The sequence below is a fragment of the Homo sapiens genome, chromosome 6 (genome assembly GCF_000001405.40).
Source record: "Homo sapiens chromosome 6, GRCh38.p14 Primary Assembly".
Lineage (NCBI taxonomy): Eukaryota > Metazoa > Chordata > Mammalia > Primates > Hominidae > Homo > Homo sapiens.
The window spans coordinates 134,017,659-134,041,396 of record NC_000006.12 but is presented as its reverse complement, the minus strand read 5'-3'; the positions used below and the strand labels follow the sequence as shown (position 1 = coordinate 134,041,396).

The 23,738-nt window shown below is 41.7% G+C and overlaps 1 protein-coding gene across 3 annotated transcripts in view; it reads left to right on the top strand.

Moving 5' to 3' along the window:
• Positions 1 to 23,738, top strand: part of SLC2A12 (solute carrier family 2 member 12) — a 65,044-nt gene that overhangs the window by 11,228 nt on the left and 30,078 nt on the right. For all 3 annotated transcript variants that reach the window (NM_145176.3, XM_017010311.3, XM_006715349.5), the window contains exon 2: positions 11,676 to 13,016. In NM_145176.3, coding sequence (NP_660159.1) covers positions 11,676 to 13,016 — 1,341 coding nt within the window. The remainder of the gene's footprint in view (positions 1 to 11,675; positions 13,017 to 23,738) is intronic.

Genomic DNA, 23,738 nt, shown 5'->3' with positions numbered 1-23,738 from the left:
ATCCTCCTGCCTTGCCTCCCAAAGCACTGGGATTACAGGTGTGAGCCACTGTGCCTTGTCATTTCTCTTTCTGTATCTCTTCAGGGACTCCAATTTCCATGATTTCAACAACTCTGGGCTGGATAGGCAAGACAGTGACTCACTGCATTTTGAAATATGAAACTAGTGTTAAGAAGAGACAAAGCCTTTCAGAGCCACTGGAGCAATGCACTCTAGAAGTTTGTTTTGCACCCACTGTTTTTGACAAGTAAAGAAATACAGACTGCTTTAAATAATCCAGGAATGATCTCCCTCATTTGTAATCAGGGGACCAAAAAGTGGAAGAAAAAAAAATTAAAAAGTTCCTTTCTTGGTTCAATGGAACCACACCAGAAAAATAACATACAGACATCAGAAAGTTGGCCAGCAGCTGTGCACATCAATTGCACCTCCAGTGCAAAAGACCTGAGAGGAGTTTCTAACTGCAACCAGGTGGCTAGAATAAGGTGTGTCAGACACTGAATATACCACAGCCATTCCAACTCCCCTCTGATTTTCTACTTTTCCTACATGGGTAACTAAAAGATTCAGACATGCACTTGTCAATCTCTCTCACAGCCAAGTTTGACCAGTCACCCACTGGCTCTGGTCAATGAGATATTAAGTAAGTCTTCCAGGTTGCTTCTTGAAAGTTTTCCTCCTGATAAAAGGAGAGAGCCACAGGAGGATAAATCCTTGTCCCAAGCCTCCTTCTATTGTCTCCTGCCTATGGATGTGGTTGTGAGGGAACGTAATTCCTGGAGCTGCGGCAGCCACCTTGCACATATGGTGACAAGCCAGGGGACAACAGACAATCCTTTGAGGAAACGGGAACAGGAGGATGGGTACAGTGTGAGTCTTTGGAGACACCAAACCCAACTTGGTCTTTTAGTTAATTAAGCAATAAATGCCACTATGATGTAAGCTTCTGTTTATCAGGGCTTGGGGTTCTTGCAGTCTGTGTTAGGCTGTTCTTGCATTGCTATAAAGAAATACCTGAGACCTGGCGTGGTGGCTCACACCTGTAATCCCAGCACTTTGGGAGGCTGAGGTGGGAGGATCACTTGAGCTCCGAAGTTCGAGACCAGCCTGAGCAACATGATGAAACCCCATCTCTATCAAAAATACAAAAATTGGCCAGGTGTGGTGGCATGCACCTGTAGTCCCAGCTACTCGGAAGGCTGAGGTGGGAGGATCACTTGAGCCTGGGAGGTGTGGAGGTTGCAGTGAGCTGAGATCGCACCACTGCACTCCAGCCTGGGTGACAGAGTGAGACCCTGTCTCAAAAAAAACAAAAAACAAAAAACAAAAAAAAAAAAACAAAAAACAACAACCTGAGATTGGATAATTTATTTTTAAAAAAGAGGCTTTACTGGCTTACCATTCTGCAGGTTATTCAGGAAGCATAGTGACATCTGCTTCTGGGGAGGCCTCGAGAAGCCTCCAATCATGGCAGAAGTCAAAGGGGGAGCAGGTACATCACATTGTGAAAACTGGAGTGAGAGAGAGAGAGTGGGGTGGAGGGAGAGGGGCCACACACTTTTAAACCACCAGATCTTATCTGAATTCAGAGTCAGAACTCACTTATCACCAAGCAGATGGCCCAAGCCATTCATAAGGGCCCCCATGACCCAAACACTTCCCACCAGGCCCCACCTCCAACATTCGGGATTAGAATTCAATATGAGAGTTGGTGGGAATATACATTAAAACAATATCACAGTCTTGGAATGGGACATCAATTGTGATTAAAAAAAAACTGTATCACAGTCAAAAATATCATAACTGATTTAGGGGCTAGGTTATGCTGCAAATTTAGGGGCTAGGTTATTTGCAATGCTGCAAATCTGGTTATTGGCAAGTATGTTTCAAATACAGAGGAAAAGGATGCATTCTAAGATTTCTATTTATAGGAAACATAAATAAATTATGGAAAGCATCTGATTTCTGTTCTCAATATAGTTTTTTAAGATAGACTCTGTGGCAAAAGATGTAAACCACATCTGATGATAAGAATAAACTGAGGTGAAGATAGAGCTTGCTGAGAACTGAGATGCAAATAGATCAATGACGTGTAGAGTGGAAGGGAATGAAACTGCAACAGCAGAATCATCATCTGAAATCTGTGATGTGGAGGATGAATATGAGAAGTTCTTCTAGGATGCAGATGAAAAGGATGAGAAGCTAGAGATGAAAGAGGAAATGAATATATTAAACTAACATATAAATAACTGTGTCTAAACAAATAGACAAAAATATTAGAGGAAATCTTTCCTGAATGGAAAAAGAACTCAACAAGTAGCAGAAAAATTTAGAAGAAAATGCACCAGACTTATCCTGATGAAAGTTTTGAATTGAAGAAAGGAAGAAAGGAGGCTGGGTGCGATAGCTCACGCCTGTAATCCCAGCACTTTGGGAGGCCGAGGTGGGTGGATCACCAGAGGTCAGGAGTCCAAGACCAGCCTGGCCAACATGGTGAAACCCTGTCTCTACTAAAAGTATAAAAATTAGCCAGGCGTGGTGATAGGCACCTGTAATCCCAGCTACTCAGAAGGCTGAGGCAGGAGAATTGCTTGAACCCAGGGACAGAGGTTGCAGTGAGCTGAGATTGTGCCACTGCACTCCAGCCTGGGCGAAAGAGCGAGAATTTGTAAAAAAAAAAAAAAAAAAAAAAAAAAGGAAAGAAAGGAAGAAAGGATAAAAGGAAGAGCAGAAAGAAGCCAGGTGCGGTGGCTCACGTCTATAATCCCAGCACTTTGGGAGGCCAGAAGCAGGTGGATCACTTGAGGCCAGGTGTGCAAGATCAGCCTTGCCAACATGGTGAAGCCCTGTCTCTACTAAAAATACAAAAATAGGGGGTGTGGTGGCCCACACCTGTAATCCCAGCTATTCGGATGGCTGAGAAAGTAGAATCACTTGAACCTGGGAGGCAGAGGTTGCAGTGAGCCGAGATCGCACCACTACACTCCAGCCTGGGCACCAGAGAGAGACTCCATCTCAAAAAAAAAAAAAAAAAAAAAAAAAAGGCAGAAAGAAAAAGAATGAAAGTAATACACATAATCAGGCAGAAAAAGTGAACCACAAATCAAAGCACAGGGGAGTACTAACATGCAAATTTAAACAGTGTCTCCTCTTATTAACTCCTCAGCCAATAGGAGTGGAAGAATATTAGTTTCAGGAAAGGATGTCTGTGAAATTGCTACTAAATCAAACCCGGGGTTGGAAAACTAACAAAGAAAGATCGCAACATTTCTATATTTTTTCCGTAGAAAATTCAAATAATAATAGGTGTTGAGAGAGGCCAAAGTTCCTTTTTGTCTGAGTTTCACTGTGTGCTGAGGAGAGGATCAGGGTGCAGGGGAGGGGTGGGAGATAGTGGCTAGATAAGCCTTGTACCCAGTATTTGTCAATACAGGCATGGCCATGCAGGGTCCAATGCCAAGGAGCAGCATGTTGGACATTTGGTGGGCTGGAAACACCACACCAGAACTCTCCCTGGGACATGCCCTCTGGGAGGTTATAGGAGGTGAGCCTTCTGCTAAGTTCCTGCATCTCCTTCCTGGGGCATCCTGTAACCTCTACTGAGCACTGGCACCCATGATACAGACACTCCTGCTCCCAACATGCTCCCAGTCTAAGGCAGGATACAAACCTAGTGAAATATAATCCAGGGTGCTGTAAAACCTTGGATGTAAAGGCAAGAGAGAGAAGGGAGAGTAAAGCTAACCTGGCCGGGTGTAGTGGCTCATGCCTGTAATCCCACTTTGGGATGCCGAGACAGGCAGATCACGGGGTCACGAGATCGAGACCATCCAGGCCAACATGGTGAAATCCCGTCTCTACTAAAAATACAAAAATTACCCAGGTATGGTGGTGCACGCCTATAGTCCCAGCTACTCCGGACGCTGAGGCAGGAGAATCGCTTGAACCTGGGAGGTGGAGAGTGAGCCGAGATCATGCCACTGCACTCCAGCCTGGCGACAGAGCCAGACTCCGTCTGAAAAAAAAAACAAAAACAAAAGCCAAAAAAAATGCTAACCCAAGAGGGTAAGCCTATGGAGGAGGGGATATTGGAGCTGGCCCTTTAAAAATGAATAGGAGGAGGCCAAGGAAGGAGCATCACTTGAACCTGGGAGGCAGAGGTTGCAGTGAGCCGAAATCGCGCCACTGCACTCCAGCCTGGGCGACAGAGTGACACTTCTTCTCAAAAAAAAAAAAAAAAAAAAAAAAAAAATTGAATCGAGTTTCCCTGGGCTGTGAAGGAAGGCAAACGACCCTGTGGTGAAGGGAATAGCCTGAGTCTCAGCACAGACCTGGGAAAGAACACAGAAGATTCTGGAAACAGCTAGTGGTGTAGATGGGCTGGAGAGTTGGTGCCTGGAGAATGTTATGGAACCTGAAGACCTGGTCCACTGAAACAGGGCTGCTAAATACTCTGTCTGAACAACTAGAGAACAATTCCATGCATAGGGCTGAAGTTTAATAAAATATAAATATAGTTGTGACAATAAAACACTTTATGGTCCCTGAAATGGTGCTATATCAGCTAGCTAAACATAGCGCTAAAACCTTCATAGAAATGCTAATGGATTGCTATTCAGTTGCTAAATATTTATATGAAGATAAAGTTCTAGATGCTAACCATTATATAACACTACAGATTAACCATAGTCTGTTGATACAATTGTGGGGAGTAGAGGTGTAAGGATCAGTATTCTGGAGTGTTGTTTTCATTCATTCATTCATTCACTCGACAAACATTGAGTATTTACTTTGTGCCAGAAGGCTAGCGGTGAAAGGACAGGTCTCAGAAAGGCAGGGTTCTTGCCTTCAAGGAACTTCCAGTCTAATAGTGAAGACACACAGGTCAATCAAAGAGTGCCTTAAAATGAGATGGACTCTGAACACACATTCTGTGCATAGTGGGCACACACGAGCCGGGGGCAAGATAATGCTGAGGACTGAGAAGTGGACTTCAGAAATGAGGTGGTAGTAGAGATGACTATTGAAAGATGAGTTGGGAACAAAGGCGTTCAGGGAGAAAGAGCACAGGAAGGGCAGGCCATAGCTGCAAGGCCATTTTTGGACAACTGCAAGTTTTTCTTGAACAAAATATGAAGTGGGGGTGGGGGTGTCTTTTAAATTTGTAAAGTATTCACAGTTGGTCAAGCTATATAATTACCTGGCTGCCTGCCAAAAAAAGAAAAAAAGAAACCACCTGTGTGTGCATGCTTTTCAGCTGGCTGTAGGATTTAGTCAGCTGGCAAGTGTTTATTGCGTGCCCATTATGTCCATATGCAATAAAAGGCATATGGGGAAGAAAGAGAAGAAGAAAGCAGGCAGAAACTCAAATATTGTGAAAAATGGATTGTTTCGTGTTGAGTGCCAGCTACAGTTGTGGTTTCATCTGACTCACTGACCAGCAGACAATGCAGCTATTGTGGTGGTGGCTGGTGCTACAGTCTCGTGGCACCCTTGGTGCTCTTGTGCTGCAGGTCTCAGCACCTGTTTGCATAAAGCTGCTTGATTGAATCACAGCTTTGATAGGAACAGTTTTACTTTATCACCTTAATAAAGAATTGTCATTGCATCAAAAGGCAAACTGGAGATCTTCCTCCTACTGCTGCTGCTGAACTTCTAGCAACGCAGTGTGGAGACAGAAAGGTGTGATGCCTTTCCTCACTCATCAGGGTCACAGCTAACACTCCTATCACAGGAGACAGAGTGACAAGAGAAAAGCATAACAAATTTAGTTAATCAAAGTTTGATGTGACATGGGAGGCTTTCAAAATGAAGATCTAAAGACTCAGGGAAAAATGTCTGATTTTATGCTTAGGTTTGATGAAGAAAGGATGGGCGTGTAGAAATGTGATTGAACAAAAGGGTATGAGTCAATAGTAATAAACTGAAACAGAAACCCAGCAAGGCCTGTCCAGATTTTTTGGGCCTCACTGTGTGGCATTTCTTCCTCCTGGGCAGAGGGCAGGACTCCCATGAAATAAGGTTTTCAAGGGAAAAGGGAGAGAGTGACCTTTTTAGGTTTTATGATTTGCTTTGGGGCGGAGTGGTTCTGGTTTCTGAGACCCACCTTGGGGAAAGGAATTCTGTTTTCCATGACTTGCTTCAGGGGAAAATGCGAGAGGGTCAGAAAGACCTTGTTTCTGGCTGATATCCTACAGCCAGCTGAAAAGCATGCACACACAGTTTTTTTTTTTTTTTTTTTTTTTGTCAGGCAGCCAGCGGCCTTTCCTATGTTCCCATGTCTAGTTCAAAGTACTCAGCACACCAATGTGCCGTACTTTGGGGTATCTTATTCCGAGCCCCAACAGCAGGAAGAAGACAGGATAGGCATAACAAAACTGCCTATGGGGTACCACTTACAAGCCTCCAGGTAGTTTCCACTTCTGTAATGTCCACAAAAAGCCAAGAATTCCCCATGGCACTTTTTGGGAGAACTGGGGTGTAAAGGAAGGGCCCCTGTGAAGCAAAGCCATGAGCAAAATGACTGGGAATGCTCTACTTCATCATTATTAAAGGCAGACTGACTTGAAAGCTGGGTATTTTTTGGAAAAGTGCTAATTGTGAATCCTCATCTTACTCTGTCCTTCACCACTGACAACTTCTCCTCAGTCCACGTGGCTGCCCAAACTCTCACCTCTGTGTGTAGACAAACACAAACCCCACCTTCCTGCCAGTGCTTTAACCCACATTCTGATCTCTTGCTTCCTGTTCACTGCCAGATTTCTTAGAAAAAGGTATCTCTACTTTCCAGCATCCATAGGATAGCATCTTGCTCTTGTCATGGCTAACCAACACACAAGAAAAACCCACTCCTTATGCCTCTCTTTGTAAAGTAGCACCAGGAAAACTTCCTGTGATGGAAGTCTTGAAGTATCAGAGTCACAATCTCAGAAGCGCTAAGGACTAGCCTTATACAGTGAATTAGAATTCAAAACCCCAAATGGAAAGGCTGAGGATCAAACAGCAGTCCTAAATATGAGTAGTAAGGGAAGGGGAAAAGCTAGTTTGGGGCAGTATCCCTTAAAGCATATAATAGGGAAGATATTAAAATTCAGACAACTGAGACCACAGCTAAATTCTGTAACATATAACTCCATGTTGGTAAGCCGTCCATGTGGGACTAGGGTTCTAGAATGATCTTGTACAAGGTTTTAACCTCTTAAAGGCAAATTGCCCAGAGACAGGAAGATAGAAAGATGGATAGCAAGAAAGAGATATATGTTATCATATAGAAAATTGTAAAAGGTTTTTATGATTCATATAAAAATAATTCCTTAATGTCTCTGAAGAATTATACTCCATGGGTTTCAAGGGGAACGTTGACAAACTGGGATGGCTTCCAGACCCTTTGCACATATTCCCATTTGTCAGTGTGCTATGAGTCCCGGCCCGAGAAACCAGGCAAATGATCTAAGTCCAGAAAGCAGCAGAAGAGGTTGGGTCCCTCTTCTGTCAGGAGCTCTTTCCTCCAGACAGAGAAGCTAGCACTTAGCAAACCACTTCAGGCTCTCTAAGGTAAGATAATGGAGCACAGAAGGAAGGGACTCCTGCATCTCAAGGCATCTTTCTCATTGTAGGGACACAGTATTTTCCATCTCATGAAAGAGGAAAACAAGAAAGGAAGAGGAGAAGCACAGGGTGGCAAGGACAATCTTCTTCTGCTATTAAAGCAGTTATGGCATTGATTCCCCTGCATCCTTAACTCCGCAGCCCCAGGTGCCCTCTGTCACACCACATGCCCTTCCCAGGTCCTTCACTCAGTCTGGCCTCCCAGGTGGTCCATTCTCCAAATTCACTTATTTCTCCAATCAGAATATCAGAGACCAGTCCTCAATTGCCAAAACACATACACTAATCAACACAGCAAACATAGAAAAAATGAACAATGACAAGCAGAGATAAGAATAATACAATATTCTTATCCAAATGTGAAGATTTGACCTAATTCTCCTTGTGGTAGAGGAATTCATTGTTGAGGATTTTAAGATCACATAGGAAAAGGAATATGGAAACCGTGGACATGAATGAACCTATAAGAGAGTACTTTAAAGTCATTTTGCATGCCAAAAAAGTCAAACAGCACACAAAATTAATAAATAATAGGTAATAAAGATATCATCAGAATGTTAAGTTTTTTGGCCCCATTATACTTGGAACACAATGAAAAGTCATCACTGTGACCGACAAGGCCCTACTTGAAGTGCCCCCTCTGTACTTACCCAAATTCACTTTAAGCCCTTTCCGTCCTACCTCTCCAGGCTCACAATGTGCCCCACATGTTATATGCTGGCCATCTGACAGTTCCTAAAACATAATGAGAACTTTCCTGTCCTAAGGCCTTGGAAATTACTTTCTCCTGGGCCTGAAATACTCTTCCCTCTGTTGCTTTTTTGTTTTGTTTTGTTTCTATTTTGACAAGTTGCAAACATATAACAAACATCTGTGTTCCTACCACCAAAAATTAAGTTATTTATATATATAATATATGTAATATATTATATAAATATATATTTATATATAAATAATATATAATTTATATATATAGATATAAATTATATATATATAATATATATATATAGCAGTGAAACAGAACAAATGTGGTATCAGAGCCACAATCTCAGAAGCATTAAGGACTAGCCTTATACAGTGAATTAGAATTCAAAACCCCGAATGGACAGGCTGAGGATCAAACAGTAGTCCTAAGTATCAGTAGTAAAGGAAGTGGGAAAGCTAGTTTGGGGCAGTGTCCCTTAAAGCATATAATAGGGAAGATATTAAAATTCAGGCAACTGAGACCACAGCTAAATTCTGTAGCATATAACTCCATGTTGGTATATATGCTATATATATATAGCAGTGAAACAGAACAAATATATATATATATATATAAAAATATATATATATATATTTATATATATATATATATATATAAATATATATATATATATATATTTCTCCCTGTACCCAGGTAAATGCCTGCCATGTAACAGTGCCAAATATTTTGTTTTCTGATTAGCTAGATAAATTGCTGATTTAATTTCAGTTTACTGGGTTTTGTTCAAAATGCTCATAAATTTGCTTTATTTCTTGTGGATTATTGCACCTTTATTTGCTCCTCCATCTAAATATTCAGTGCTTTTTTCCCCTTATTTTTGGGGCTGCCAATTCCCATAGCCTACTAGGATCCTGGAGATGGAAAATACCTTGAGTATTTGTGGTAGAGCTTTAGATCACCTTTATTTGACCTGCTTATTTCACTAGAGCTGAATAGCATTTTTAACTATACCCTCCCCCAACCCCGAAAAGGCAGCCTTAGCTCAGCCTATGAAAACCGTGTGTGTAATCACATTTCTAACATTTGACTTACACCTCAGTTCTGATTCTTCTCCATCTCCTTTGCTGGCACTAGTCTTCTAAATATTGGCATTGCCTAGGTCCCAGTCTTGATCATGCTTTTCCTTTTCCCCTATTTTATCTTCCTAAGTGATCTCACCCATTCCTGTGGCTTTAAATACCAAATGTGTGCTGCTGGCTTCCAAATACATATGTCCAGGCTTGACCTATCTTTAAGCTCCAAATCTGTATACCCAATCCCCTACTTAACATTTTTACCTGAATGTCTTACAGATAAAATAAATAAACCATTTTACTAAGTCCAAAATGAAACTTTTGATTTTTGCCCCTCCTCTTATCACCACTCACAACCAGTTCTATTCCTAATCTTCCCTATGTTGGTATGTTGCGCTACACAGTATATAGTACAATGCCCTCTACATCTCTCAATGGGTGTTGGCCCCATATAGTACTGTATTGAGTATATCAAATATTGTAAAATCACCCACCCACCTGCTCAAGCCACAGAGCCATCCTGGGTTCTGACCCATTTTTTATCCCCCATCTCCAATTCTTGAACAAGTGTAATGTTTTTTTTGTTTGTTGTTTGTTTTTTGTTTTTTGTTTTTTTGTGAGATGGAGTCTTGCTCTGTTGCCCGGGGTGGAGTGCAGTGGCATGATCTCAGCTCACTGCAACCTCTGCCTCCTGGGTTCAAGTGATTCTCCTGCCTCAGCCTCCTGAGTAGCTGGGACTACAAGGCATGAACCATCATGCCCAGCTATTTTTGTACTTTTAATAGTGATGGGGTTTTGCCATGTTGGCCAGGCTGGTCTTGAACACCTGACCTCAGGAGATCCACCCACCTCAGCCTCCCAAAGTGCTGGGATTACAGGCGTGAGCCACCACATCCAGCCCTGAACAAGTGTAGTGGTTTTTAGCTCCAAAATAAGTCTTGAATCTGCCTACTTATCTCCAGTTCCACTCTTAACACCCAAGTCTAAGCTACCATTATCTCTTGTCCAAACCAAGGCAACAAACTCCTCCCTGCTACCAGTCTTGCCAGTCTTGCATTTTGAAGAACTAATCTCTACATAGCAGTGAAGGTGGACTTTATAAATAAGAAACCTATAGCGTCAATGCCCTCTACACCTCTCAGTGGGTGTTGGCTCCATTATACTTGGAACACAATGAAAAGTCATCACTGTGACCGACAAGGCCCTACTTGAAGTGCCCCCTCTGTACTTATCCAAATTCATTTTAAGCCCTTTCCGTCCTACCGCTCCAGGCTCACAATGTGCCCCACATGTTATATGTTGGCCATCTGACAGTTCCTAAAACATAATGAGAACTTTCCTGTCCTAAGGCCTTGGAAATTACTTTCTCCTGGGCCTGAAATACTCTTCCCTCTGTTGCTTTTTTGTTTTGTTTTATTTCTATTTTGACAAGTTGCAAACATATAACAAACATCTGTGTTCCTACCACCAAAAATTAATAGTTACTAACTTTTTGACATTTTTCCTTGGATTTGAACATTAACGAAAGAACAATATAAAGGTAAATTCTCCTTGTTCTGCCTGTGTTCCATCCCCCTTTCTCCTTACTCAGAATGAGTAAGGGATATTGCTGGTTCCTTACACTACATACATTTCTTCCTTCCTTCTGTTTAGCAAAACCTTGACTTTGTTAAGGCATTCACACACTGCCCACTCCCACCTCCACCCTCTGCCCCAACACCCTCATGTGTTCAGCAGAGGCCATTTGCAGCACGACTGTGGCCCAGGAGATAAGAGGGCAAGTTTCCTGGAGGCTGTGTTTCATTTTGACCCAGGCTATCCAGCAAGGAGGCTGTAGCACTTCTAGAGGCTCCTATCCTCTCTCTCCTGCCCTCAAAGATTTGCCTTTAGAGAACTGGAATGGGACCAAAGAGTCAGGCTCTTTGAATTTCTGATCCACTGCCAAGTCATGAACCAAATGATGTTCTTGTTTGTTCAGTCTTCATCATGTGTCATCTGCTTATCTCAACATCACTGTCTGATCTAAACCAAAAACATCAACATCATAAATAGAAGGAAACTGGACTTCCTACATGTCTCCATGCCTATCCTCCCAAAAAAGAAAGAAAAATGATTTCTCCTTCTATATCAAATCATTTTTTGGTTAGTGTATTATTTTATCATAATTGTGTGTTCGTTTAAACCCAGTGCTATGAAAGACTTCTACAAGGTTAAATCTCCGCTCAAATACAAAATGTTTAAAATCTCAACTGAGAACTGACCTCCCTGTCTCTTCTCTCTGCTTGCAGGCTGCGGCATGTTTACCTTCCTGTCATCTGTCACTGCTGCTGTCAGTGGCCTCCTGGTGGGTTATGAACTTGGGATCATCTCTGGGGCTCTTCTTCAGATCAAAACCTTATTAGCCCTGAGCTGCCATGAGCAGGAAATGGTTGTGAGCTCCCTCGTCATTGGAGCCCTCCTTGCCTCACTCACCGGAGGGGTCCTGATAGACAGATATGGAAGAAGGACAGCAATCATCTTGTCATCCTGCCTGCTTGGACTCGGAAGCTTAGTCTTGATCCTCAGTTTATCCTACACGGTTCTTATAGTGGGACGCATTGCCATAGGGGTCTCCATCTCCCTCTCTTCCATTGCCACTTGTGTTTACATCGCAGAGATTGCTCCTCAACACAGAAGAGGCCTTCTTGTGTCACTGAATGAGCTGATGATTGTCATCGGCATTCTTTCTGCCTATATTTCAAATTACGCATTTGCCAATGTTTTCCATGGCTGGAAGTACATGTTTGGTCTTGTGATTCCCTTGGGAGTTTTGCAAGCAATTGCAATGTATTTTCTTCCTCCAAGCCCTCGGTTTCTGGTGATGAAAGGACAAGAGGGAGCTGCTAGCAAGGTTCTTGGAAGGTTAAGAGCACTCTCAGATACAACTGAGGAACTCACTGTGATCAAATCCTCCCTGAAAGATGAATATCAGTACAGTTTTTGGGATCTGTTTCGTTCAAAAGACAACATGCGGACCCGAATAATGATAGGACTAACACTAGTATTTTTTGTACAAATCACTGGCCAACCAAACATATTGTTCTATGCATCAACTGTTTTGAAGTCAGTTGGATTTCAAAGCAATGAGGCAGCTAGCCTCGCCTCCACTGGGGTTGGAGTCGTCAAGGTCATTAGCACCATCCCTGCCACTCTTCTTGTAGACCATGTCGGCAGCAAAACATTCCTCTGCATTGGCTCCTCTGTGATGGCAGCTTCGTTGGTGACCATGGGCATCGTAAATCTCAACATCCACATGAACTTCACCCATATCTGCAGAAGCCACAATTCTATCAACCAGTCCTTGGATGAGTCTGTGATTTATGGACCAGGAAACCTGTCAACCAACAACAATACTCTCAGAGACCACTTCAAAGGGATTTCTTCCCATAGCAGAAGCTCACTCATGCCCCTGAGAAATGATGTGGATAAGAGAGGGGAGACGACCTCAGCATCCTTGCTAAATGCTGGATTAAGCCACACTGAATACCAGATAGTCACAGACCCTGGGGACGTCCCAGCTTTTTTGAAATGGCTGTCCTTAGCCAGCTTGCTTGTTTATGTTGCTGCTTTTTCAATTGGTCTAGGACCAAGTAAGTACTTTATTCTTTAATGTATTGCTTTTGACCAGTCAGAGCATCCTACTGCTATAGTACCTCATGAACATAAGTGCTAGAAGGAAGACAAGGATAACATTGGTCATCTGATGTTCCTTCTAATGCAGAAAGTATGCTTGGCTTATATCTGCTTCTGAAAAGTACAGGGCTAGTATTCAACTGAAAGATAAGTTTCCCATTATCTGTCACATGAGGATACTTTAATTCCCATTAATTGAGGATGAACCAGACCTGGAAAGATATTTATTGCCCAAGGGAATTACATTGCTTTATGAAAGCAAAATTTGCTTTCATAAAATGGGTAACATTTTCCTCTATATCATCTCTGAGTTTCTTCCTATGTAGAAGGAAAAAAATCAAGGGTTTAGATTTTCTTAAAGACACAATAGTGGATGCATTCCAGTGATAGTAAAGAAGGAAGACATTATGAGCTGAGAAGGAGGATGTATTATTATTACTATTTTGAGTACATCTTATTCACTAGAGTAGCCTCCCATGGCACTTTACTCTTGTCCATTAAACAGAAGCATGAAAGTCTAGTTGCTATCATTCAACATAATACAATTTACAAGGACATAGCTATGAGGTTTTATTTTATATAACTAGTCTGCTCTAATGACAAAGTATAAACACCTCTCTTGGGCAAACTCTTTTAGAGATGGATTTACTAGAATAGGCTGTTTGTTGTAGTTCTCTTGTCTATTAGCCTCACATCTAAAGCCTGAATGTCTCTGTAGGGAGGCTGTGAAGGGTCTTTTGTACGCCTCACTAGAAAAAAAAGGAGGACTTAAAAGCTTAAAGGTAGCCTCTATTACCCCCACCTCCTACCCCATTCCTCTCTCTCTCTTTCTCTTTTATTCCTCTCCTTCCTTTCTCTTTCTTTCTAAGTCTCTCCCTCTCTATCACAAAGTTGGTTTTGAAACTTGTTGAAAAGGATCAAGGAGGCAAACAAATTGGCTCAAATAATGGGAAACATTGGAGGTTCAGGCCAATAAGAAGGTATAGGCTATGCTGAAGAAGGAATTTCATGGGGAGATGTAGGGCTCTGGTTCTAGGTACTGGACAGGGTTTCTGGAAAGAAGGCCATGTAGGGGCTTGCTTTAGTCATCCACTGCTAACTCATTAACTATTAATTCAAGCAATATGTATTGAGTGATGAATTTTTTTCATAACCAGGAACTATGCCAAATATTGGGGAAAGGATAATGACCAAGACAGACACTGTCCCTATCTTCAGGGAGATTGTAGGTGAATGGACTGAGCTATACTCTCTGTATCTGCCTCCTTCTGGTCAGCAACCAGCAGGTTTGGCCTGCTTAATCTCAATTAATAACTAGACTTGCACATGGCTGATATGTCCTCTCCTGCTCTAACTCCACCTCCTCATTTTTCAGCTTCTAATTCCACTTCTAAGGGCACTCAGTTTCTAGATATTGATTTGTTCAAATTCCAAAGAGAGAGAGAGAAGGGTTAGGTGAAATCTGATTGACGCTGCTCTTTGCTGTGCCAAGTCAGAGATGGAAGTTCAGGCCTAAACAGCTGTGGCAAGATTGGGTCATGGTCCAAGACATGGAAGACCAAGACATGGCCCTTCCTCTGCACTGTGAGTAGACATATTTCCCGCTATAAGACTGCTTGGGCAGATAGAGTAAACATTACAATACCACCAGCCTCTGATGACTCAGACCTGCTCCTGAACCTTAAACCTGCTTTTTAAGACTTAACAATGATAATTACCATTAATGAACAGTTTCCCGGAAACAGATTTCTACCATTACTTTGGGGTTCAATTATCTTGAGTGTATACCTATGAGATACTCATATGGCTACTATGACACTTTAAGCTAATGAAATTTGAGCTAACCTCTTATTTTCATTTTTATTATTTTCTTTATTTTATTTTTATTACATTTTTATTTCAAGAAACTCTTCAAAGCAGAAGGACGAGATATAGGTGCAGTCTTGTACCAAGGAACACCTTAGATTTGGGTGTGAAACTTCTCTATGTTAACAAGTACAATAAGCTTTGCTCATTTGATAAACTTCAGGTGGTAGTTACTGTTCCATTGGTTTCTTCTGCTAGCATCTCTTGTCCTTCTTGTATATTCAACATAAAACTAAAAGTATTTCCTTTGTACATCAATTTTCTTGGTCCAATTTTTTGAAATGTCAAGATTAGCTAAGAGTCTAAGAAAAAGCCACAAAAAAAGGAAGGGATACCCTCTTCTTTCTAATTCAGAAAACCTCTCAGGTTAAAAGGGTATATGTCATGGCACATATTATGATATGAGATCAATATGAGAGACATTGATCTTAGGCCTCCTGAACCAACCTACTCATGGTTAGAGTCCTTTCAATTTCATGCCACCCATCTCTCTTTAGTTTTGGGGTAATTTTGAAAAATGCAGCAAATCTTCCAGTCTCTAACACATCATTTGATACCTTATTGTATTAGAGCAAGAGTTCTCCTTTTCAGAAAACCAAATTTGATTTTAGAAAAAATTACTGGAGGCTGGGAGTGGTGGCTCATGCCTGTAATCCCAACACTTTGGGAGGCCGAGGCTGGTGGAGTACTTGAAGTTAGGAGTTCAAGACCAGCCTGGCCAACATGGTGAAAACCCCGTCTCTACTAAAAATACAAAAAACAGCTAGGCATTGTGGCACACAGTTGTAATCCCAGCTACCCAGGAGGCTGAGGCAGGAGAATCTCTTGAACCTGGGAGGCAGAGGTTGCAGTGAGCATTGCACTCCAGCCTAGGCAACAGAGTGAGACCCTGTCTCCAAAAAAAGAAAACAAAACAACAAAAGAGAAAACATTCTGTCGGCTGGTTGTCTTTCAATAACATTCTATGCTAATTTTTTTAAAATATGGTTTAAGCTTTAGATTCCACTAATATTTATTGACACCTAGTATGTCAAATACTGTGCTAGGCAGCTTTTACGTACTTTGCAGTACTTCATTTTACCTTCAAAACAAGCCTGATAAGAAAGGATATTCACTGCATTTTACAAATGAAGATACTGAGTCTCAGAGAAATTAAGTGACTTGCTGAAATAAATGAAAACATGTTTTATCTTCTGAAATTCAACATTAATCTCAAGTCTAAGACAGGAATAGGCAGTCCTGTGTTGATCTTAAGGGTAAATGTTAATTATTTTTAGTTCATTCTTCTCCTTGAAAGTCCACTAGGAGGAAGAATGAATAAAAATAGTGTACCATTGTCCATCCATCAGGATACTAATGGACCATTGTGCATTTTGCAAAATAGAGAAATAGTCTCTGCTTTTCTGAAGCTCTGCTAAGTAAGTGAACATGTACTTTTTATAAGGCTGAGATATAGGATGAAAGAGAAGAAGGGTAATAACAAGAAGAGAGTTTTTGCTGTGCATTTACTTTCATAACTGAACGTATTGAGAAAATGCTGAATGTAGAATTCAAGCTCAGCAGATGTAACAAGGCCCAAAATAACAATGGCTTAAACAAATTAGAAGTTTCTTTCTCTCTTACTTAATAGCTGGAGTTGGGTAGTTCTGGGTGTTGTGGAGGTGCCCAGGGTCAGACACCTGAAGTCTATAGTTTTTCTATACATTATTCAATTCTGGTTTCTAGTCTATCATGATGACCATTTATATAAGATACATTTAAAAATCTCACGCATATTAAGATGCATTTAAAAATCTCATCATCATTTACTAAGAGCTAATGGTCCCTTGGAAATAAGTAAAAATGCACGAGTGCAGTCAACTAAAGGGAGATTGGGTATAGTAGGGCCTGGGTAATCTGTAGACAGCCTGAGCAATTGCAGCAGGGAATTAGGACTGCTGTGAATGATACGGCAAATCATTTCCTATAGGGATTTGGTATCGCACAATTGTAGGAGAAGCTGAGAACACAAAGGTCTAGAAGGGGACAATTGGGGAAAAAGGAAAAATTTATTAATCAAGGCACAGAGGGAAGCTGGTGAAGAAGTATGTGGAAGACTGCGGTCTTGGCATCTGGTGGTGGCCTTCTGAAGCTTCTGCTTGGCAGCAGGGCAGGCCGGAGGAAAAGCTGGACTCAAAGCAGAGGGAAGCAGAGACGACTCACTGAATCCGGTAGACAAACTGGAATCCATGGGAGGAAACTGCAGCACTCATGTCTTTCGCCACATCACTCCAGTGAGGCAGGCGACCTGCAGAAAAACTGCTGCCTTCTCCCAGAGCCCAGTCTAGTGCTTGGAGAAGTTGTAGGAGGAGATCTGGCCAAACTCGCTGGGCCCTCACTCCAACAAGGGGAACCAGTGATCGGCAGCAGGGTGCACGAGCTGCGGTGGTGGCTAGGGCCCGGCACCAATGCCTCAAGCACAGCACTGTAGGGTCACTTTGGCCTTCCAAATCATGCAAATTTCTCTTCTTTCCAACCCTAATCCAGAGCTACCCAGGGGAAGGGAATTCTGGGAAATGTCCTTCTAGCTTAGCTAAGTAACACAGCACAAAATCATCACAGTAACAGACTCTGGCCTAAGAGAGAATACACGTGACTGTGGGGGAAAAAATTTCAAAAGGTCAAGGGCCCTAAATTCAGTCCATTGCTGTGATAAACTTTAAAAATCAAAATGTTAATTATTCAAATATATGACTAGCTTCCATTCCATCTAAAATAAGAGGTGAGGTCATTTCATTAAGGTCTCCTCGCCTTCTGTTTCTTTAGCTATAAAACTGAAAAACACATTTGCTAATGCATTATAAAGGCTTTCATGCTTGTTTTCTCAGGAACGTTAATTATCTCCCTTGAGCTGATGACTCTCGCTTATTTCCAGTTCCATCGTCTCACATGATTTCTAGCTCCTTTTTTCCCAATGAGTACTAAACCTTTCCCCCTCCATGCTTCACTGTCAGCCAAACACAACAACCCCAAAGCTGAATTCCTTTTCCTCTTGTACCAGGGTTCTTTACCACTTCCATTCCCTTTCTAGAGGGCAGTCACTCTTCCTGCCACTCGGAGCGATGCTCTGGGGCTTTTTCTCAGTTCAGTCAATCATCACAACGGCTGTTGCTTTTATGGTTTCCTTCCTATATCTGCCATCCTATGCTACCTCTTATCATCTCGTTGTCAGATTACTGGGATACCCTTCCAGAAGTCATTGTCTATTCCAGGCCCTTCTCACACCCATCCATCCTCCAGACCACTGTCAACCTAAAATGAGTGACCAACTCTCCGAAGCAAAGAGTTTAATACGGAATAGCGGGGGTGTTGCAAACCTGTGATATGCATGCTGTGATGGTTCATAGACATATCTGGGGGTTGGGGCAAAGGGGGAGCTTTGAAAGACAAAAAGAATTCCACATAGACTGTAACCAAAGGTTACAAAGACCAAAGGTAACATGAGTTTGTTACAGGAGTTGGCATTAGCTTATTGGTTGGTTGAGACAGACTAACTAGGCAAGTGTCCTTGTGTAAACAGATTATTTGGAATACTGCCGTCTTGAGGGATTTCCTTGCAATAAGTCCTGTTACAGGAAAATCATGTAGTACGTGCAGAAATCTCTTGTGATAAGAGCTCCTTCTTTCTTGCCCTCCTGACTCCATTTTGTTTGTGTTTTGACATAAGTGACTCCATTTTGGTATTGGCAACTTTCACACCAGTATTCCTTAAATACCATTTTCCTCATGTCATCAATGTTTACAAATCTTCAAAGCTTTCCTCTTTTCTTCCACGACATACAGGTCAAATGGCTTTCCAGATGAAAAGGAGATTAGAAATGATCTGGGGCAACATTTTTCTTTTCTTTTCTTTTCTTTTCTTTTCTTTTCTTTTCTTTTCTTTTCTTTTCTTTTCTTTTTTGAGATGGAGTTTCACTCTTGTCACCTAGGCTGGAGTGCAACGGTGTGATCTCGGCTCACTGCAACCTCTGCCTCCCGGGTTCAAGAGATTCTCCTGCCTCAGCCTCCCAAGTAGCTGGGATTATAGGCACCTGCCACCATGCCCAGCTAATTTTTGTATTTTTAGTAGAGACGGGGTTTCGCCATGTTGGCCAGGCTGGTCTTGAACTCCTGACCTCAAGTGATCTACCCACCTCAGCCTCCCAAAGTGCTGGGATTACAGGCATGAGCCATTCAATAGAAAACAAGTAAAAGAAATTCTGGGAGATTGAGGGCACACAGATTTGGGAATAGAACCCTAGGTACCTGAAAGCTAATCCATGTTCTTTCTGCTTCTATATCACCTATGTTTGAGGCAAAACCTCTGGTTTTTCAAGACCCTCCATTATCTCACCCAGCTCTATCAGGGTGTCTGCAGGACCATAGGGCCACGATTTACTTGTAGTCTTAAGTCTTGTGCTCCAGGGCCACCATAGACTCCACATAACGGACAAAGTGAATGATGCTCCCTGGGGTTGTGCAATGAGGCAATACTTTATCAGTGTGGGTTTATTCCCCACTGCTCCACACCCAAGTCAATACACACAAAGCACTTGTTGTGGCCCCTTCCTTCCGCCTCTGCTCTATCCAGATCCTTCCTCTTTTTGAAGTTAAATGAAAGCTTTATCTCCTCTTTGAATCCACTCCATTTTTTAGAGGTCTTTATTTGTATGAACTACTAGTGTGTTTCTAGAGTAATTCAGTTCTGGGCTACCAAACGTATAAATTTAAAATCAGAAAACCTCTGTTCTAATCCCAGCTCTTCTACTTACTGGTGGTGTGACCTTTACGTGATTTTTCTTCTCTGAGCTATTTCTAATCTATGTAATGGGCATAGTAATATCTGTCCTATCTCCTAGAGTACAGGTGCACATCAGATGATCTAATGTATATGAGAGTGCTTTAGATGCTGTAAAGTATGAGAGTATGATATAATGTAAGTTACAATGTGAGAACACATCTTAGTCCTTAGCAATAGGGTATTACTTCTGTATGTTTATTTTGGTTTATTAACCAGAATGTAGTTATAGACTGTAAGCATTTTGAAGGAAGAAACATCTCATATTTTTTCTTTCTGTCCCTGTAAGTGAGCACAGCATGAGTCTGTTTAAAAATCATGCTGGTTTATTTACCTTTGTGTTTTTAAGCAGGAAGAAGGAAAAGGACTTAAAAATACGATGCAGACATAGGAAAAATGTCAAATTGGGCTTCTTTACTTGTGTAAAGATCTGGCTAGTGGGCAGGCTAGGAACTAAGTAAGCTAGAAATACTAGGCTGCCAAAAAAACTCCTGTTCCTGCCAGACACCATCACGAGGCTTTTTGCAGAACAATCCATCACTTGGGCATGATTTTTAAAAAATATCTTTCTGATTTTGGCTGTAAGAAAAGATGCAGGAGATTTAGTAGTGTTAAGAAACAATTAGCGGGAGATATTTAGGCATTTCTTTGTTAAGGCATACATAGTTATTCGAGAATTTTGGACACAATATCTAAAAGTTGTTCTGGATGCTTTTTGGATCCTCTGCTTTTTGCTACAACATGGAGAAGAGGGGCTTCGGAGAACTGCTTAGACCAGAAGCAATGCCAACGAGTTGGAGAATCTCAGGGTTGAAGGAAGTTTGGATCTAGGAAAAGGAAATACTTCTTACATCTCATGGACTGTCCAATTTACAACTGCAGGTGCAAGGACTGGCCTGGGTAATCACACGTGAGGCTTGGAGTCATGCTGTCAGAGGCAGGAATCCAAATCACATCTAAAGAGAACAGTCATTTCACATTCTTATCTTGAGGCTATGGATTCTCCTCGTGTTTTTAAAAGAGACCCAAATAATTCTCCATTTTTTTTCTTGCTAAGAGTCAATCCTTTACATCCATATTCACATTTTAGTTTCTTTTTCTTTTCTAAAGAAAATATCCTGTAGTAATTTCATTTCAATCCCCAATTGTATTCTAGAGCATTGGTATAAACTATATAAACTAGTTGGAGTTTAAAGAAGATTTTTATTAGGAACAAGCTTTTCATACCAGATCTTGAATGCATTACCAAACTTATTAAGCTGATGTGATTAGTGCTCAGGTATTTAGAGAGTTTATTGCTTGTAATACAAATAAATCCTTTGTGTAAATAGAGGTATGAAGGAAAAGTACTTGCTGTTCTAAAGTAACATTGAAAGCAAGATTAAACCATCCTTATTAGACCTTCTTAAATATGGATTGGCTTAGAACAACATTCCTTAATTGTGTTAGATCACAGCATGATTTTCTTCTGCCAGGAAAGTGTTTCTATTCTTAGGTTAAAGTGGATGCCCCACGTCATTTTACTTTCTGGTCCCCTGTTCCCCTAACTGTAAAATAATTGGGTTGCCCCAGAATTTAGAATCCAGGAGGGGTACTCATGTAATCTTACATACTTTTTTTTTTTTTTTTTTGAGATGGAATCTCACTCTGTTGCCCAGGCTGGAGTGCAGTGGCTCGATCTCGGCTCACTGCAATCTCCGCCTCCTGAGTCCAAGCGATTCTCCTGCCTCAGCCTCCTGAGTAGCTGGGATTACAGTTGTGCACTACCACCAGGCCTGGTTAATTTTTGTAGTTTTAGTAGAGACGGGGTTTTACCATATTGGCCAGGCTGGTCTTGAACACCTGACCTCAAGTGATCCACCTGCCTTGGCCTCCCAAAGTGCTGGAATTATAGGCATGAGCCATTGCGCCCAACATCTTATGTACTTCTAGAATGCATTTAAAATATTATTCTAAGAAGGGGTCCATAGGCTTCACCAGCCTACCGAAGAGGTTCATGGCCCCAGAGAGGCTAAGAGCCCCTCCCTTCCATTTTTCTGTAGCTAATATTAAAACCCGTATGTCAAACAAAATCAGGATATATACTTATTAAACACTCTGTTGTCCATAACTTATCTTTCACTTCAAATATGTTCAAAATCTTACCTCGACTCCCCACTGTTTCTGGGGTGCTCTTGATCATCACTTCAGCTCCCTTTAATAACAGAATTTTTCTAACATGGTTCAAGCTTTCACAACGTAGAATCACAGATTCTTGACATTGTGAAGACACAGAACAACGTGAAGATTTTTATATTCATGCTTCACAAGTAAAGTCAAGATGAGCCAAAACCCAAGGCATAATGTTATTATTTCATGAGTTCATCTGAGGTGACACTTGTGTAGAAACCCAGCCCTCCTTAAAATAGCCACTGAAACTCCGGAAAATATATGTGACTGTTTTTTTTATAATAATTATTAGGGCTTTTTATCCAAAAATTAATATGCCCATAAATTAATTAATTAACCTCTTCTTTCATCTCATGATGAATAAGTTTTCACTTTGAGCAGATGGAAGGCATGTTTCCCAAGGTCACATACGAAGTTAGGTGATAAAGCTGCGACTGTCATCCTTCAGCTACCTTTGTATTCACATATTCAAGTGACAGATGACACCAAATAACCTCCCCTGATCTCTTCTACCAACTCTGAGGACTCAAATGGGCAGAAATTCCAGCCAGAAAACATCTTGGAGTGAGGAAGAGGAGAAGATAGAGAAGTGGTAGGGATTCATTGATTCACTCACACATCCAGCACATGTGTCTTGCTCACCCACAACATGGCAGGCACAGTACCAGGTGCTGGAGATCCACATCTTATTTTCACGAACCAGTGATAGGGACAGACGAAAAGAAAAAAAAAATGAACACACCTATGATACAGTTTCAGGAGACAGAAGTGTTAAAATTTAGGTGGAGGTAAGAGTGATAAAGAAAAATAAAAGAGGGTAAGTGAAAGGGCATGCTTGGAGGAGGGTTATTTCCGATATGATAGTGACAGAAGACATTTCTGAGGTGGTAACATTTGGGCCAACGTTTGTATGAAGAAGGCAGTGTGACAATCTTGGAGGAGGGGGTCTTGAAGCAGGGCTAATGGCAGGTCAGATGGCTTTGAGGACATGAGCTTGAAGGGTGAGGAGAGCTGCAAGAAAGCCATTGTGTTTGAATGTGGACCAGGCTTTGGTATTGGACTGCCTGGCCTTGAATCCAGCACCACCATGCAGGACTTAGGGCAAGTCCATTGATCTCTCTAGCTTTCAGTTTTATCTAGAAAACAGGGCAATTGTATCCACTTGATGGCCTGTCGAGTTAAATGAAGGAATCTGTATAAAGTGCCCCTAGTTCAGTGCATGGTTTGTGGCATGGACTTAGTACACTTAGTCATTAGTGTTATTAAATGTCTGGCTGTGGTCTAGACATGAGGTGAACAGTTCTGATAATGCCAGCACTGACTTCAACAGGCATTTTGCTTAAGTCACTCTGGGACACATAGGATGTGCTTAAAGCCCTTTATTGATTTACGATGCTGTGGTCTTCTTTCCCTCCCTCTACACATAAATCCAGCTGAGTCAGGACCACAGAGACCGGATTGTGGCTTTGAGAAACATAGTTCAATCCTAGGTCACCTGCAGTCCAGAGGGCTTCCTAGGAAACCAGACAGGTTTTACAGAGAATCATGAAGCTTTGGTGAAAGATGAAAGGTGAGATATAGGCTGAGAAACATACAAATGTCCACTCTTCTTTTTTTTTTTTTTCTTTTGAGACAGAGTCTCGCTCTGTCGCCCAGGCTGGATGGAGTGCAGTGGCGCGATCTCGGCTCACTGCAAGCTCCGCCTTCCGGGTTCACGCCATTCTCCTGCCTCAGCGTCCCGAGTAGCTGGGACTACAGGCGCCCGCCACCACGCCTGGCTAATTTTTTTTGTATTTTTAGTAGAGACAGGGTTTCATCGTGTTCGCCA